Source organism: Homo sapiens, chromosome 12 (assembly GCF_000001405.40).
Source record: "Homo sapiens chromosome 12, GRCh38.p14 Primary Assembly".
NCBI lineage: Eukaryota > Metazoa > Chordata > Mammalia > Primates > Hominidae > Homo > Homo sapiens.
In genome coordinates this window covers 104,355,118-104,369,674 of record NC_000012.12, presented here as the reverse complement: position 1 = coordinate 104,369,674, position 14,557 = coordinate 104,355,118, and the positions used below count along the sequence as shown (strand labels likewise).

Here is a 14,557-nt window from a genome sequence, read left to right as displayed (position 1 = left end):
GTTACTTAAAGCCAGGAACGTGCCTACTTAGGTGTTATTATCTCCATTATTCAGATGAAGAAAGTGAGACCCAAGCCAATGAGTGTCTTGTTGAAGGTCCCATTGTTAACCAACAAAACGTAACTGAAGTTTTTCCATGCTTTGTCCTGGCCTCTCCCCATTATTTCTCAGCTGCCTCCACCAGCCCAGCAGAAATTCCATGCAGCAGAAGAATCTATTGACCATGAATGACTGGTACTTCATTCAAGCAGTTAAGGAGTTTCCCTGGGTCAGTGGTCCAAGTGTCTGTGTGCAGTTGGCTCCCTCAATGTTCATATGTTACTCAGTTGGGCCTTTGTCATTGAAAGCGAAGAGGACATTGTCTTGGCTGTCAGAAGCTTTGGGACTGTTCTTTAAGTCTGGCTTAAGTAATAATCAGTGACCTTTCCCTTCTCAGCTTAGAGGTATGGTTGAGATCAGTCATTGGCACCCCCAGGTCCTGACCACCATCTTACTATACAGTGGCAGGGAAAAGGACAACTGGACATTTACTGTGTCCAAAAGGGATGTAATGACCTTGCCCTCCTTCTGCCTGTGTAAATGCTTGTGTGGACTCATCCCTTACAGGCCGACCCAGCAAGACTTCTCCATTAACTCCCTTCTGCATGCTGGGCAGGGTGGTTTTCTGGATTCTTATCCCCAGTTCCCCAGTTCCCAACCTCCAGCCCTGGGCTATGGTGATTTTCCTGTTAAAATATTCTTAAGTCCTCTGTACCGTATGTTGCCTCACTCATCACAATTGTAATGAAATCATGATTTATGCACCATTGTTTGTTTAAGGTTTGTTTCTCCTATTAGGCTGGAAGCCCAGGTGGGGCTTGGAAGTAGAAGACCTTCAGTGATGGTCTTTGGATAAATAAATGCAGGGATAACTGGGTGGTTTCAGTGGCTCTTTCTTCTTCCTGCTAATCCCCCAATCTCCGCATCTCACTCCAGAAGCTGGCATGTTCTCCCGGCATCTGGCATTTTTTCCTCCTTTTCTGACTTAGCTTTTGTTTTGGACCTTGAGATATGCATAGAGGTAAATAATAATAATAACAATTAGCATTTTCAAGTTCTTAGTATGGCCAAGCACTGTGCTAAGTGCTTTGTAAGTATGATCTCATCTAATCTACATACCCACTCTCTAAAGCAGATGCTACTATTATTTTCATTTTATGGAGGATTCGGGGCACAGTGAAGCTCAGTCTTTTTTTTCAAGGTCACACAGCTAGTAAGTGGCAGATCCAGGATTCAACCTGGACTCCGGGCTGCATGCTCCCCTAAATGCTCTCACTGTCCAACAGACGTGGCCCTGATCATTTTGGATCGTCCAGCCAGGTTGAGGAGAAAGTTGTTACTCAAATAATCCCACTGTATTAGGCAGGGTTCCCCAGAGAAACAGGAGATAGATGATAGATGACAGGTAAATAGATAGATAGATGATGATAGATAGATAGACAGATAGGCAGATAGATGATAGATAGATAGATATATAGATGATAGATAGGAGATTTACTATGGGAATTGGCTCAGATGGTTATGGAAGCTGAGACGTCCCACCATCTTCCACCTGCCAGCTGGAGAGCCAGGAAAGCTGGTGGTGTAATTCAGGCCAAGTCTGAGAGCTTCAGAACCAGGGAAGCCCATGGCAAGTGGGCAGGGGAGGTCACTGGTGTAAGTCCAGAGCCTGAAGTTCTACGAATCAGGAGCTCCAATGTCCAAGGTAGGACAAGATGATGGATATCCCAGGCCCCAAAGAGAGAACAAATTCGCCCTTCCTCCACCTTTTTCTTCTATTCAGGCCCTCAACAGATGGGATGGTGCCTCCTGCATTGGTGAGGGTGGATCTTCACCCAGATTAATTCAAATGCTAATGTCTTGGTAAAGGAATTTAAGAGATGAAAAAAGAAAAAATGCTAATCTCCTCCAGAAACACCCTCACAGACACACCCAGGCATCATGTTTTATCAGCTACCTCGGCATCCCTGAGCCCAGTCAGGCTGACACCTAAAATTAACCATCACACCCACCATGATCAGCACTGTGAAGAAAAATTCTGAGGGACACTGGCTTTGATCACCAAATCCTCTGTGACATGGGGAGAGCCTGCTGAGCACCAGTGTTACTCCTTCGGTGCCCTCCTGGGGTGAAGCCACAGTGGATGCAGGGAATAGCTCTTCATGACTATGTCCCTGGCTTAGGTTCACAATCCCTGGAACGCATGCCTGTAGGGCTGGAAGATGCTGCAATGCTCCGCCTGGCCTCCCTTCCCGGACGCTGCTTTCGCCCAAGCCCTCATGCACTTGGATTCTCTGCAGGCCCTGCCCACTCGTCTTCATCCGGATTCCCAGGCTGCCTCTAGACAAGACGCAGACCAGCCAGGAGCCCTGTCCTCTGGAATGCACTTTAGAATCTTCCCACATAGTGCCGGGCATAGTGGCTCACGCCTGTAATCCCAGCACTTTGGGAGGCCGAGGCAGGCAGATCACCTGAGGTCAGGAGTTTGGGACCAGCCTGGCCAATATGGTGAAACTCCGTCTCTACTAAAAATACAAAAATTAGGCCGGGCGCGGTGGCTCATGCCTGTAATCCCAGCACTTTGGGAGGCCAAGGTGGGTGGATCACAAGGTCAGGAGTTTGAGACCAGCCTGGCCAACATAGTGAAACCCTGTCTCTACTAAAAATACAAAAAATTAGCTGGGCATGGTGGCGGGTGCCTGTAATCTCAGCTACTTGGGAGACTGAAGCAGGAGAATCATTTGAACCTGGGAGGCGGAGGTTGCTGTGAGCCGAGATTGCGCCACTGCACTCCAGCCTGGGCGAGAGGTGAGACACTGTCTCAAAAAAAAAAAAATATATATATACAAAAATTAGCCAGGCGTGGTGGTGGGCGCCTGTAATCCCAGCTACTTTGGAGGCTGAGGCATAAGAATCACTTGAACCGGGAGGTGGACATTGCAGTGAGCTGAGATCGTGCCACTGCATTCCAGCCAGGTCGACCGAGCAAGACTCCATCTCAAAAAAAAAAAAAAAAAAAAAAGCCAGGTGCGGTGGCTCATGCCTGTAATCCCAGCACTTTGGGAGGCCAAGGCGGGCAGATCACCTGAGGTCAGGAGTTCGAGACCAGCCTGACCAACATGGAGAAACCCCATCTCTACTAAAAATACAAAATTAGCCAGGCGTGGTGACGCATGCCTGTAATCCCAGCTACTCTGGAGGCTGAGGCAGGAGAATTGCTTGAACCTGGGAGGCAGAGGTTGTGGTGAGCCAAGATCACGCCATTGCACTCCAGCCTGGGTAACAGCAGCAAAACTCTGTCTCAACAAAAAAAAAAAAAAAAAAAAGAAAAAAAGAAGACTCTTCCCACATAGGGAGATGTAAAGGTGACTTAGATCTAAGCTGCCCTCAGGGTGGTCAGCTGTCCTAACCAGGAGCATACATTTCATCAAGGTCCACACCCTAGAGGGGTGGCTGCGTGCTTCAGCTGTCTTCCTCTCTGATCTACACTGGAGATTTTGCTGTTTAGCAAGAATAAATGTTAGAAGTGGGTTTTGTTGATAAACTAGTGCCTTTTTAATGACTAGAATGGAATCTAAAAATGGGCTCTCTTTAGTAAAATTTGTGATTTTCAGGTATGCGGATAAGCTAAAATATTCTAGAGCCAGTCCCCATCCCTGTGGGAACACGGTATAGATCTGGTGTTAAGGCTTGTGCCATATATCCGGTTCATGAAAGGGCCTGAGTCCAGCTGCCGGTTCAGAAGATGTGGGGACATTTGCCTCGGTGAGCCCTTTATCCAAGGTCCAGGTGGAGCACCTAATAGGGCAAAGAATTGGGCCTCCTCTGGGTTTATCAAACAGGTTGAATGACTGCTTTGGGCCTTCTTGCTGGTATGTGTCAATTGAGTAGTGACATTTTAACCAAGTAGCAAGGTAGGGGAGTAACTTACCTCACTACCTCTGACAGCTAGTAGCCTCTGTTAACCTACCAAAAATCACCTAATTATTGTACACTCAACCCAATACCATAGGTGTGGGTCCTTTTAGAATTCCATGGGGGGTTTTGTGTATAGCTTTAGAAACAGCTTTGACAGTCTAAGTTCTTAATACTTGACAGAGGCCGGGCGCAGTGGCTCATGCCTGTAATCCCAGCACTTTGGGAGGCCGAGGCGGGTGGATCATGAGGTCAGGAGTTCGAGACCAGCCTGACCAACATGGAGAAACCCCGTCTCTAGTAAAATTCAAAAATATGCCGGGCATGGTGGGGGACGCCTGTAATCTCAGCTACTCGGGAGGCTGAGGCAAGGAACTGCTTGAACCCGGGAGGTGGAGGTTGCAGTGAGCCGAGATCGCGCCACTACACTCCAGCCTGGGTGACAGTGACAGGTCGAGACTCCGTCTCAAAAAAAAAAAAAAAAACAACTTGACAGCAGCATTTCTCAGCCTCAGCACTGCTTCTCATTTGGACTGGACAAGTCTTTTTTTGTGTTTGTTTTTGTTTTTTAGACAAGGTCTCACTCTGTCACCCAGGCTGGAGTGCAGTGGCATGATTATGGCTCACTGCAGCCTCAACCTCCTGGGCTCAAGCAATCCTCTCATCTCACCCTCCCAAGTAGCTGGGACTATTGGTGTACATCACCATGCCCAGTTAATTTTTAATTTTTTTGTGGAGACGGGGTCTCAGTATGTTGCCTAGGCTCGTTGCAAACCCCTGGGCTCAAGCAATCCTCCTGCCTTGGCCGCCCAAAGTGGTGGGATCACGGGCATGAGCCACCGTGCTGGGCCTGGACTGGAAAAGTCTTTGTTGCTGGAGCTGTCCTGTGCCATGCAGGATGTTTAGCAGCATCCTGGCCTCCACGCATTAGATGCTGGGAGAAACACCCAATTCCTGTGCCCAGTTGTGACAACCAAACATGCCTCCAGACATCACTAAATGTCCCCTGCCAGGCAAAATTGCCCTGGTTGAGGATCACTGCTCTGGTACAGTAAGGTGAGAAATTCCAATACAGTTAATATGTCAATTAATCAAAGAAGGGATCCTTCAACCTCCCACTTGAACTGGGGCTGTGAACAAACATGTTGGCCAAAACACAGTCCCAGGTTTCCACTTTCTAGTGGAGAAACAACCTTAAAAATGATGGAGAAGCTGGGCGCGGTGGCTCACGCCTGTAATCCCAGCACTTTGGGAGGCCAAGGCGGGCGGATCACCTGAGGTCAGGAGTTCGAGACCAGCCTCAACATGGAGAAATCCTGTCTCTACTAAAAATACAAAAAATTAGCCGGGCGTGGTGGTGCATGCCTGTAATCCCAGCTACTCGGGAGGCTGAGGCAGGAGAATTGCTTGAACCTGGGAGGCGGAGGTTGCGGTGAGCCGAGATCGTGCCATTGCACTCCGACCTGGGCAACAAGAGTGAAACTCCATCTAAAAAAAAAAAAAAAAAAAAAAAGATGGAGAAATTAGATCTGGTGCACATTCTAATCTTTTTTTTTTTTTTTTTTAAGATGAAGTCTTGCTCTGTCACCCATGCTGGAGTGCAGTGGCGCAATCTCAGCTCACTGCAACCTCTGCCTCCTAGGTTCAAGCAATTCTCCCACCTCAGCCTCCGAAGTAGTTGGGATTACAGGCACACATCACCATGCCTGGCTAATTTTTGTATTTTTTTAGTAGAGATGGGGTTTCACCATGTTGGCCAGGCTGGTCTCGAACTTCTGACCTTGTGATCTGCCCACCTCAGCCTCCCAAAGTGCTGGAATTACAGGCGTGAGCCACTGCACCTGGCTGCACATTCTAATCTTTAAGTCATCTGAACACTTGGGCAAGAGCACAATCCAAACACCCTCAATGAAACAGGGGCCCTGGAACATGAGCCACTATTGCCATCTTGGCTGTCCCCGAGCAGTTAGCAATGCCAGAAAGTCCCACATCCCCATGGTCAGGAGTGGGTCTTTCCACCTGAGATTGCTTTGTACAAGTGTGATATTTGATCACTGTATAAATACTGGAGCCTTAGCATCCTTGAAGTCACTTAGCTTCCCTGAGCCTCTATGCCTCCCTTTGGACATTAAGGCTGGGAAGGCTTCTCCTTTTGTGCTGGACAGAATGGGTCCTTGTGGCATCTTTCCTCCAGCTCCAAGATCCATCCTCCTCCTCATCATGAATGCACAAGTGCATCTAGAAACAATATGCTGAGCGATACCACGAGCCAGGCATCCTTGGAGATGTCACTCCTTTCTGAATCCCATAGGGACTTTTAGGCATCATGGCCCTCTTTGGAGCTCTGATAGAGATCAGCCACCATCTCCCTGGAAAATATACTTGAGCACAGGATTTTGCATAAGGTTTCAGAGGCTTCACAGGGGACCCCTTTGGGAGTGAGCGAACCAGGTGAGGAATATTTGGCTGGAGGCCTCTAAGACTGCTTTCAGTTCCAACTTCTGTTCCTGGAGCAATGGTGGCCTCGTGGGGGAAACCCTGAGTCGGAGACCTGGGAGAGAGGGCAACTGAAGATGGAAACTGAGACGGCATGAATAGCACCATCGCAGGGTGGGAAAGAGTCCCTCACGAGCTGTCAGCTTTTCTGTTACCTCAACTGGATGCGAAAGCCCCTTTACCATCTCCCTCTGCTGACGAATGCTCCGCAGCAGAGAGAAGCCTCAGGTTTAGCAACTTCAGCTGGCAACAGCGTCTGGCCAGAATCTAATGCCAATGTTTTGTTTTCACATCTTTTCTTCCCCAAATTCTTTGTTTTGATTGAATTCCAAAAGCCAAAAAAAGTATAAATGGAAATACACAGGAATGTTCCTTAAAAGTGGGCCCCACCCCTGCCCCTAGCCGTGGGTTCTTCTCCCCACAGGTAATCACTATGCACCTCTTCTATGTCCTTCCAGAAATACCTTATGCGTATGCAAGCTACAGAAATAGGTGTTTTTGCATTTATTTTAAAAATTAGTCTGTATGGCAAATCAGACTGGTTTCCATTTATGGTTTCAATCTATGGGTGTCTTTTAAAATAAATGTGTTTCCATTTAAAAGAAGTAGGAATCGCTTTGATGTGCAGTGTTAGTAAATACAGTGATGACAAAATGTATGACCGAGGCACGTGATGACACAGACCAAGAGCTGCGAAGCCCACGGGCATCTGCTCCCAGTTCTGCTCTCCGCAGTGGGGGAGGTTGGAAGGTCTTCCGTTTAGATCCAGGCCCCCTGCTTAAGAGCAGCCCCTGACAATTTCCCTTCTTCACCTAGGAAGGACAGAAAGACCCAGTTGGAGGCAGAGACCCTGACCAAAAAGGCTCAGAAGCGTTTGGGGCCTCTCTGTCTCTATTGCTACATCCAAGGGAATGGCGGTTCAGGTCAGGTCATAACTGATGTGTATTTGCATCCAGAAAGAACGTATCACCTGGATGCCGTCCCTCCCCATGCTGCATGGGGGGCGTGGGTGCAGGTGTGTACAACACACATACGTGTGTGCCTGTGAGCCCAGGGTGTGAGCCTCAGTAAAGGAGAGGAGAAGCTGCAGAAACAAAGCAGTGACTCAAAACTCCCTGTCTCAGCACAGCACTGATCTCTCCAGCAGCAGCATTTAATAGTTATGCATAAAACATGAACACTTATGCATGAATGAATTTCATTATAAATACAATTAATGATATCGTTCTCAGATACAACACCTCATGAATCTAATGAACAAAGTTTACAGAGAGTCACATATCACTCTCTATAACTAAATTCAGATTTCAGGAGAGTGTGTGAGGCAGGACAGGCAAGCCCTGAAATTGGGGCTTAGCCCAGGAAGGTTCTTGGCTTCACTCAGGAAAGAATTCAAGAGCAAGCCAGTGGTAGAAGAAAACAGCTTTACTGAGGCAGCAATGTTACAGCTCCATGTCTGCTCCCACAGAGCAGGCTACCCCACAGGCAGTGTGCTCAGAGTAGAAGCTCAGAGGTCGTTCTGCAGTCATATTTATACCCACTTTTTATTACATGCAAATTAAGAGGCAGGTTATTCAGAAATTTCTAGAAAAGGAATGGTAACTTCCAGGTGTTGCCATGGCAATGGTAAACTGGCATGGCACTGGTGGGTGTGTCATATGGAGAGGTGCTTTTGCCCCTCCCCTGTTTCAGCCAGTCTCCAATCTGGTCTGGAGTTTGAGCCCTGCCTCTAGAATAGAGTCCCACCTCCTACCTCATAAGCAGACCGTCGAAATCAGCCCACATAACTCAGAAGCACGTACAATTCTTATCAACAGCTTTAGGAGCTGTGTTGAATTCCAAAATGATGAGACAACTTTACCATGGCACAGAACAATTCTGAGATTAATTTCAAAAGGGCAAAATAAAAACACACTCAGAAATGCATGCAACTGCCACAAATAGTCACTGTATATACCACTGATCGTCACTTACATAATAACAGGTTTGATTTTCCTAAAGCCACTGGATTCCTGCTCATTCATTGGTTGGAAGGATCATGTGACTCTCCTACCCAGTTGAACTTTGGAGAAACCTACCCGAGCATCTGGCAGAGAGATGTTCACTGGGAGATAAAAGCTCCAAGTTCCAGGCACTACCTTCAAATAAATGTGTGCCTTGCTTCTCAGCAAGCCTTGAGAAGGCTGAGGCCACACCACAGAAAAAATGTGAGTCTTATACATTTGGTAGACACCTATGTAGTTTTTAAAATAGACTTTCTTTTTTAGAGAAGTTTTAAGACCACAGCAATACTGAGCAGAAGGTACGGAGACTTCTATATACTCCCTGCCCACATACATGCACAGCCTCCCCCACTATCAACTTCACCTATCAAAGTGGTCTATTTGTTACAATTGACAAACCTACACTGATACATCACTATCACCCAAAGTCCAGAGTTTACATTAGGGGCCACTCCTGGTGCTGCACATTCTATGCGTTTGCGCAAATGTGTAATGACATGGATCCCCCATTGGAGTATCACACAGAGTAGTTTCGCTGCCCTAAAAAAATCTAGTTTTTATATACCAATTTTTTTCCACTGAGGTATACACTATAAGCTTTTTTCTCATATCATTAACTACTTTCTGAAAAACAAGATTTAAATGGCTATATTAGTTGGAGTACAGACTAAGCAGCTATGTCAGAGACCCAAAATTCAGTGTCTTCAAAGAGTAGTCTACGTAAGACGTTTGTTCTTTCCCACCCAGCAGATGGAGGTGGGGGTGGAGGATGCTACAGGGTGTGGGTCATCAGGGCCCTGGTTCCTTCCAACTTGTTGCTCAGCATCTGCTTGCTTCTTGACTCATCTGCTTGCTCATGGCTGGCCTCCAGCCCTCCAGTGGGTGTCAGGTCATTCACAGATGCAGGGGAAAGAGAAAGTGGAGAGCAAGTGTTTTTCTTACACGGAACATAACACTTTCACATCCATTCTATCCCAGAGCTTAACCACAGAGCAACTTAGTATCATGGAGGCTGGGAAATTCAGTACATAGCTAGGTGCCCAAGCACATTGCTAAAATCTATGTATGTGTAGAGGTTGGGGGGGGGGCGGGGGGAGGTTGTACTACCAAAAAGACAAAGGGAAGAAGGACAGAAGAACAATTAGATCTTTCCAATCATTTGGATAAACTGTCTCCCACAGTTGGATATTTCAATTATTTTTCATTTTTCACTAATATAAGCACTGTGAACACCCTTATACACCTAGCACCCCCTTTGTGCCAGCCACACTATTCTAAGCACTTCATGTGTGTGTTAACTTGATCCTCACAGCAACTCTGGGAGGTGAGCACAATTATTATCTCTATTTTATGCTAAGAAAACAGAGGTACTGGGGGCTAAGTTACCCTGCTGCAGGGGCTGGGCTTGTAACCACTGCTTGTAGGAAAGCCTGCCTGGGTCAGTGCTCTTTCTCTTCAACACCTCTTTATTTCCATTCACTTCCTATTTCCCTCTCCATAGACGGCCCCTCTCATGCGGTGCATGTGTGCTATTCTGCTCGTAAAACATGTACCATGGTTTCATGGGCATACATTTTTAGTACACAGAAGCGGTTATAGGGGGCTCGGTCTCTTTTTCTTTCCACTCGCCTCTACCCATGTCATGAGTACTCCCCAAGTACCGCTCCATCATCTTGCATCTGCCGCAGCCTACTCATCTATTCCCCAGTGAGGGTCATCAGGATGGAGTTCAATTTCCCCACACTGCACACGGTGCCATAACGGGTGTCTTCGTGCACGTTACCTTGGGGATACACAGAATTTCTCTGGGGTTGAGAGCCAAGAGCCGTATTGCTGGGTCATGGGCTACACAGTGCTTGAGGTCTAAACACTGAGCAGCAAACAGTCTCCTCTCCAACCAGCAGGGCCTGACGGTCCCCTCGCCTAGCTCATCATTTGGCATTAACCAGCTTTCTGATGTGTGCAAATCTGATGGCTGTAAAGCAATCTCTCATTATTTTAATTTGCCTTTCTTAATGACTCGCAAGTTTGTACAGCTCTCCTATCCTGGTTGACTTTTGGGTTTTATCTTTGGTGAATAAGCAGTTCAATGTCCTTTGCCCATTTTCTTTTGTGGTTCCTGTCTTCTTGTTGATTCGCCAGAGTTCCTTGAAGTCACCTGGGTCTAAATTCCTTATCAGTTTCAGACACAGAACAGTCCCTTCCCACATGGTCATCTCTCTATTAAACTTTTTCCATGATGGTCTTCGTGAATCAGAACTTCTGGGGCAACTGGCACATCAGTGCTTTGCCTTTTGGTTTGTGCTTGAGACCATGGTTTAAGAAACCCTCACCCACCTCTAGGTCACAGAGGTATTTTCCTATATGTACCATATAAATTTTACGGCTGTACCACATACATTTAGGTCTTCAATATGTTTCAAGTCTGTCTTTGTCATCCAGTGTTAGGTAGGGATCCAGTTTTATAGCTACACACATAGCAAACAAGTTTTCCCAGAATTATCTGCTAAACTGTTTGCCCATCCCCCTTGATTTGCAAGCCCTATAAAATTTTTTAGCTATGTGACCTTATTCACTCAAGCCCATAAACAAAGTGTGTTCCAGTAAAACTGAACACCAAAGTGGAAGCCTGCTGTTCACAGGGATGGACACTAGGAGGCACACCTTCTCTTTTGCTTTGGAGTCACCCCATGCCACAGAAGCCACACAGTGTGAGCCTGGGCAAGTGACTGACTCTGAACTTCCCTTTTTTCATCTAAAAAGTGGGTGTAGGGCCGGGCGCAGTGGCTCATGCCTATAATCCCAGCACTTTGGGAGGCTGAGGCGGGTGGATCACTTGAGGTCAGGAGTTCAAGACCAGCCTGACAAACATGGTGAAACTCCATCTCTACTAAAAATACAGAATTAGCCGGGCATGGTGGCACACGCCTGTGATCCCAGCTACTTGGGAGGCTGAGGCAGGAGAATTGTTTGAACCCAGGAGGCGGAGGTTGCAGTGAGCCGAGATTGTGCCATTGCTCTCCAGCCTGGGCAACAAGAGTGAAACTCCATCTCAAAAAAAAAAAAAAAAAAAAAAAAAGAAAGAAAAAAGAAAAGTGAGTGTAACACTAGTTCTAAAGTTCTTATAAGATTAGTGGAGTCACTGCGTGGAGGGCGTTTTGGATGTGCAGTTCTTTCTCTGCCTGCAGCTCTCCTCAGTATAACGCCTCTTCTCTTTTCATTTCTTCTCTGGGCCATTTTAAGGCCTTTATTCCTCTACGCACTTGTACTTCCAGAGCCCACATCATTCCAGATATAATGAAATGCATCACTTTCCCACTTTCAATGTACTTCATTTACAGACATACAGGAATCAGATCTAATTGCATTTGATTGGCATAAGGCAAGTATGTAGGCATTTAAAGATTTGTCCATTGTAATTTTCTTCTGTTGAGTTATTTTCCTTCATATTCTGGAGCATTTTCAAAATGGTTTCAAAGGCTTTTGTAAACACTGGGCCTTTTGCTCATGGCACTTAGTGGGGATGAAACAGCCTCGCCTTCTCTACCTTAGCAACACTAACAGATCTTGTGGATGTCATTCTTTTTTGTGTGTGGATATTGACTCAGAGTCCTCCACTCTCCTCCCTCCTGAGCCCCAGACCCACCTTCCTGTCTTCTCATTGGTGGACCCCACTGAGTGCCTGGCCAGGACTTCCAATTGAGAATGAGTAGTGGCCATGAGGATTAAATGTTGCTATGTGCATAGCACTTACAACATAACCCTAATATGCAGGAAGTAAGCATATGAGGAAAATGTGACTATTATTACACGATTTGGTCAGAATGGAGAGTGGAAAGGAAGGTTAAAGAGACAATTTAGGAGGCAATTGCAAATCAGAGCAAAAGATAAAGGAAGCCTTTAAAAAGGTGGTTGCCATGGAAAAGACGAGACCAAAGAGAATGAAACCTGTGGGACTTCACAGTGTTCTTTCATTCCAATGATGTACAAAGTACCAACAGTGTACTTGGAGCTGCTCTGAGAGCTGGGTTGATGGGAAAGCAAGGGAAAGTCTAGTCTTCCAAAGAAGAGTCCAAGGGGGCAAGAGGAGGTGGGAAGACAGCAGCCTCCACACAAAGCTTTGGTCTCCCCACCCCCAAGCTCGGGACAGGCAGTTCAACAACAGAAGCCTAAAAAGTGGCTTATCTGTTGGCCTGAAGCATACAATTACTGCTCCTATTTTACAGAAGAGGAAACTGAGGCCAAGTGAGGTTAAGCACAGATAACTTGGCAAAAACTGCGCTGCTGGGATTCAAACCTGTGTGGCTTGGGAATTTAATCTGCTCAGAGCCCAGCTGTTTATTGGTTCTGCAGGGCCAGGCTTAGGGTGAGGGAATAGGAAACTGAACTCTCAGTGCTGTTAAAGGACCGATCTTGCTCTGGGAGAGCGTGTGCCTCCTTGGATTTTGCGGCCGGAAGCCTCAATCTCATCCCAGCCCTGTCCCCGTGTGCCTTCTCTGCTTCCCACTGCCCCAGAACGGTGCCCAGCGTTGGCCTGCGTTTGAGCGCTTCTCTTTCTGTCTCCATGCCCCTCCAAGCCCCGAACCTGGACTACATCCATGCTTTCGCTTGCCAGGGGTCTGCCTGGAGCGTCCTTTCCTCGCCCCTGTGTTTCTAGATCTAAACCTCACCATCCCTCATCATGGACAGGGTCCCCAGGATCCCCAGGGAATCCTCAGGCAGCTCTGTTCCAGTGTGGGCCCCTCCTATAGCTGCAGGTTCCCAGCAGAGCTTATCTCTTTTCTATAAGCATTCATGCCCTGTGGTACACTTCATCATTCTTGAGACCTTAAACACCCTTCTGGGCTGATGCTGTGACATTTGTTTAACTGTATCCTGGACTTCATTCTGGAACTCCCGACTCATGTCCAACTGCCCACTCACCATCTCTACTCAGACGTCTCATAAGCATCTCAAACTCAGTGCCCAAAACCCAAGCATCTGATAATTCCCACCCATCTTCCTATAGTTTCCCCACCTCAGTGAAATGACACCTCCAACCTCAGTCCTTCCAATTCTTCAAGTCCAAAACTCTGGAGTCATCCTTAACTCCTCTCTCTCCCCCACCCCACATCCAATTTAACCATAAATTCTACTCTCAAATTAGGTCAGAATGTCCATCCACTGCTACTACCATGGCTTAGGCATCATCTTCTCTCCCTTAGATTACTACAGCGGCCTCCCTGCTGGGCTCCCACCTTCCACCCTTTCCTCACCCTCAGGCTGCCCTCAGCCCAGCCCCAGAGTGCTCCTGAGAACCTGTAAGTTAGAAGCACACCCCTCCTCTGCTCAGAGCCCTCCAGTGGCTCCCAATGGTGCCAGTGCAACAAGATCCCAACCACCTGCCCCTCTCTCCCTGTTCTGTCTCCAACCTTGACTCCTTTCCCCACTCAACTCCACCGTACTGGACATTCCTCCAACCTCCCAGACATGTGCTGCCTCAGGCCTTTGCACTTGCTGACCTCTGTGCCTGGAATGCGCTTTTCCCCAGATATCTGCTTGATAGAAGAAGCCAAATGTCACCTTCTCACTGAGGTCTTCCCTGACCACCTTAATTAAAATTCCACTGCCTATGCCCCACAGCCCTAACCCCGCCTCTGCTTAGATTTTTCTCCATGGCACTAACTTCTATATAGTTTACTTATTTGTGTTAGTTTTGCCTGTTTACCTCCACTATAACATAAGCCTTTCAGGATGAGGATGTCTGATGTTTGTTCACTGCTCAGCTCTACTGCCTAGAAAGGTGCCTGGTGCATAGTATTTGTTGAAGAAATGAAGGAATAACAATTCTTTTACACTCACCCACCTTACCTGACCACACTCACCCTAGATTGTGTTTCTTCATTTTGTGTCCGCTGTGCTCTGGACATAAAGGATAGTCCATAATTTTCTTCCTTGACTCTGCTGACTTAGCACACACTCACCCAGACTGTTTGCTTTTGCAATTATTAGGCAGGTTCTACCTCATTTTCCCGACATACAAGAGGGTATCACCATCATACACAAAAGGAAGCCAATGGCAAGGACTTCTGATGCCTCACTTGAGGTCTGTAGGATGTGTTTCC

General features: G+C 47.0%; 2 annotated features.

Moving 5' to 3' along the window:
• Positions 1,678 to 2,383: an enhancer, noted in NCBI's record as "NANOG-H3K27ac-H3K4me1 hESC enhancer chr12:104761070-104761775 (GRCh37/hg19 assembly coordinates)". NCBI's record gives its function as "activates a minimal SCP1, AML or CMV promoter by ChIP-STARR-seq in naive H9 embryonic stem cells {active_cell/tissue: H9 hESC(naive)}" and the evidence as "EXISTENCE:reporter gene assay evidence [ECO:0000049][PMID:30033119]".
• Positions 11,950 to 12,244: an enhancer, noted in NCBI's record as "tiled region #7710; HepG2 Activating DNase unmatched - State 9:DNaseU, and K562 Activating non-DNase unmatched - State 10:DNaseD". NCBI's record gives its function as "activates a minimal TATA promoter and a strong SV40 promoter by Sharpr-MPRA in HepG2 and K562 cells {active_cell/tissue: HepG2 | K562}" and the evidence as "EXISTENCE:reporter gene assay evidence [ECO:0000049][PMID:27701403]".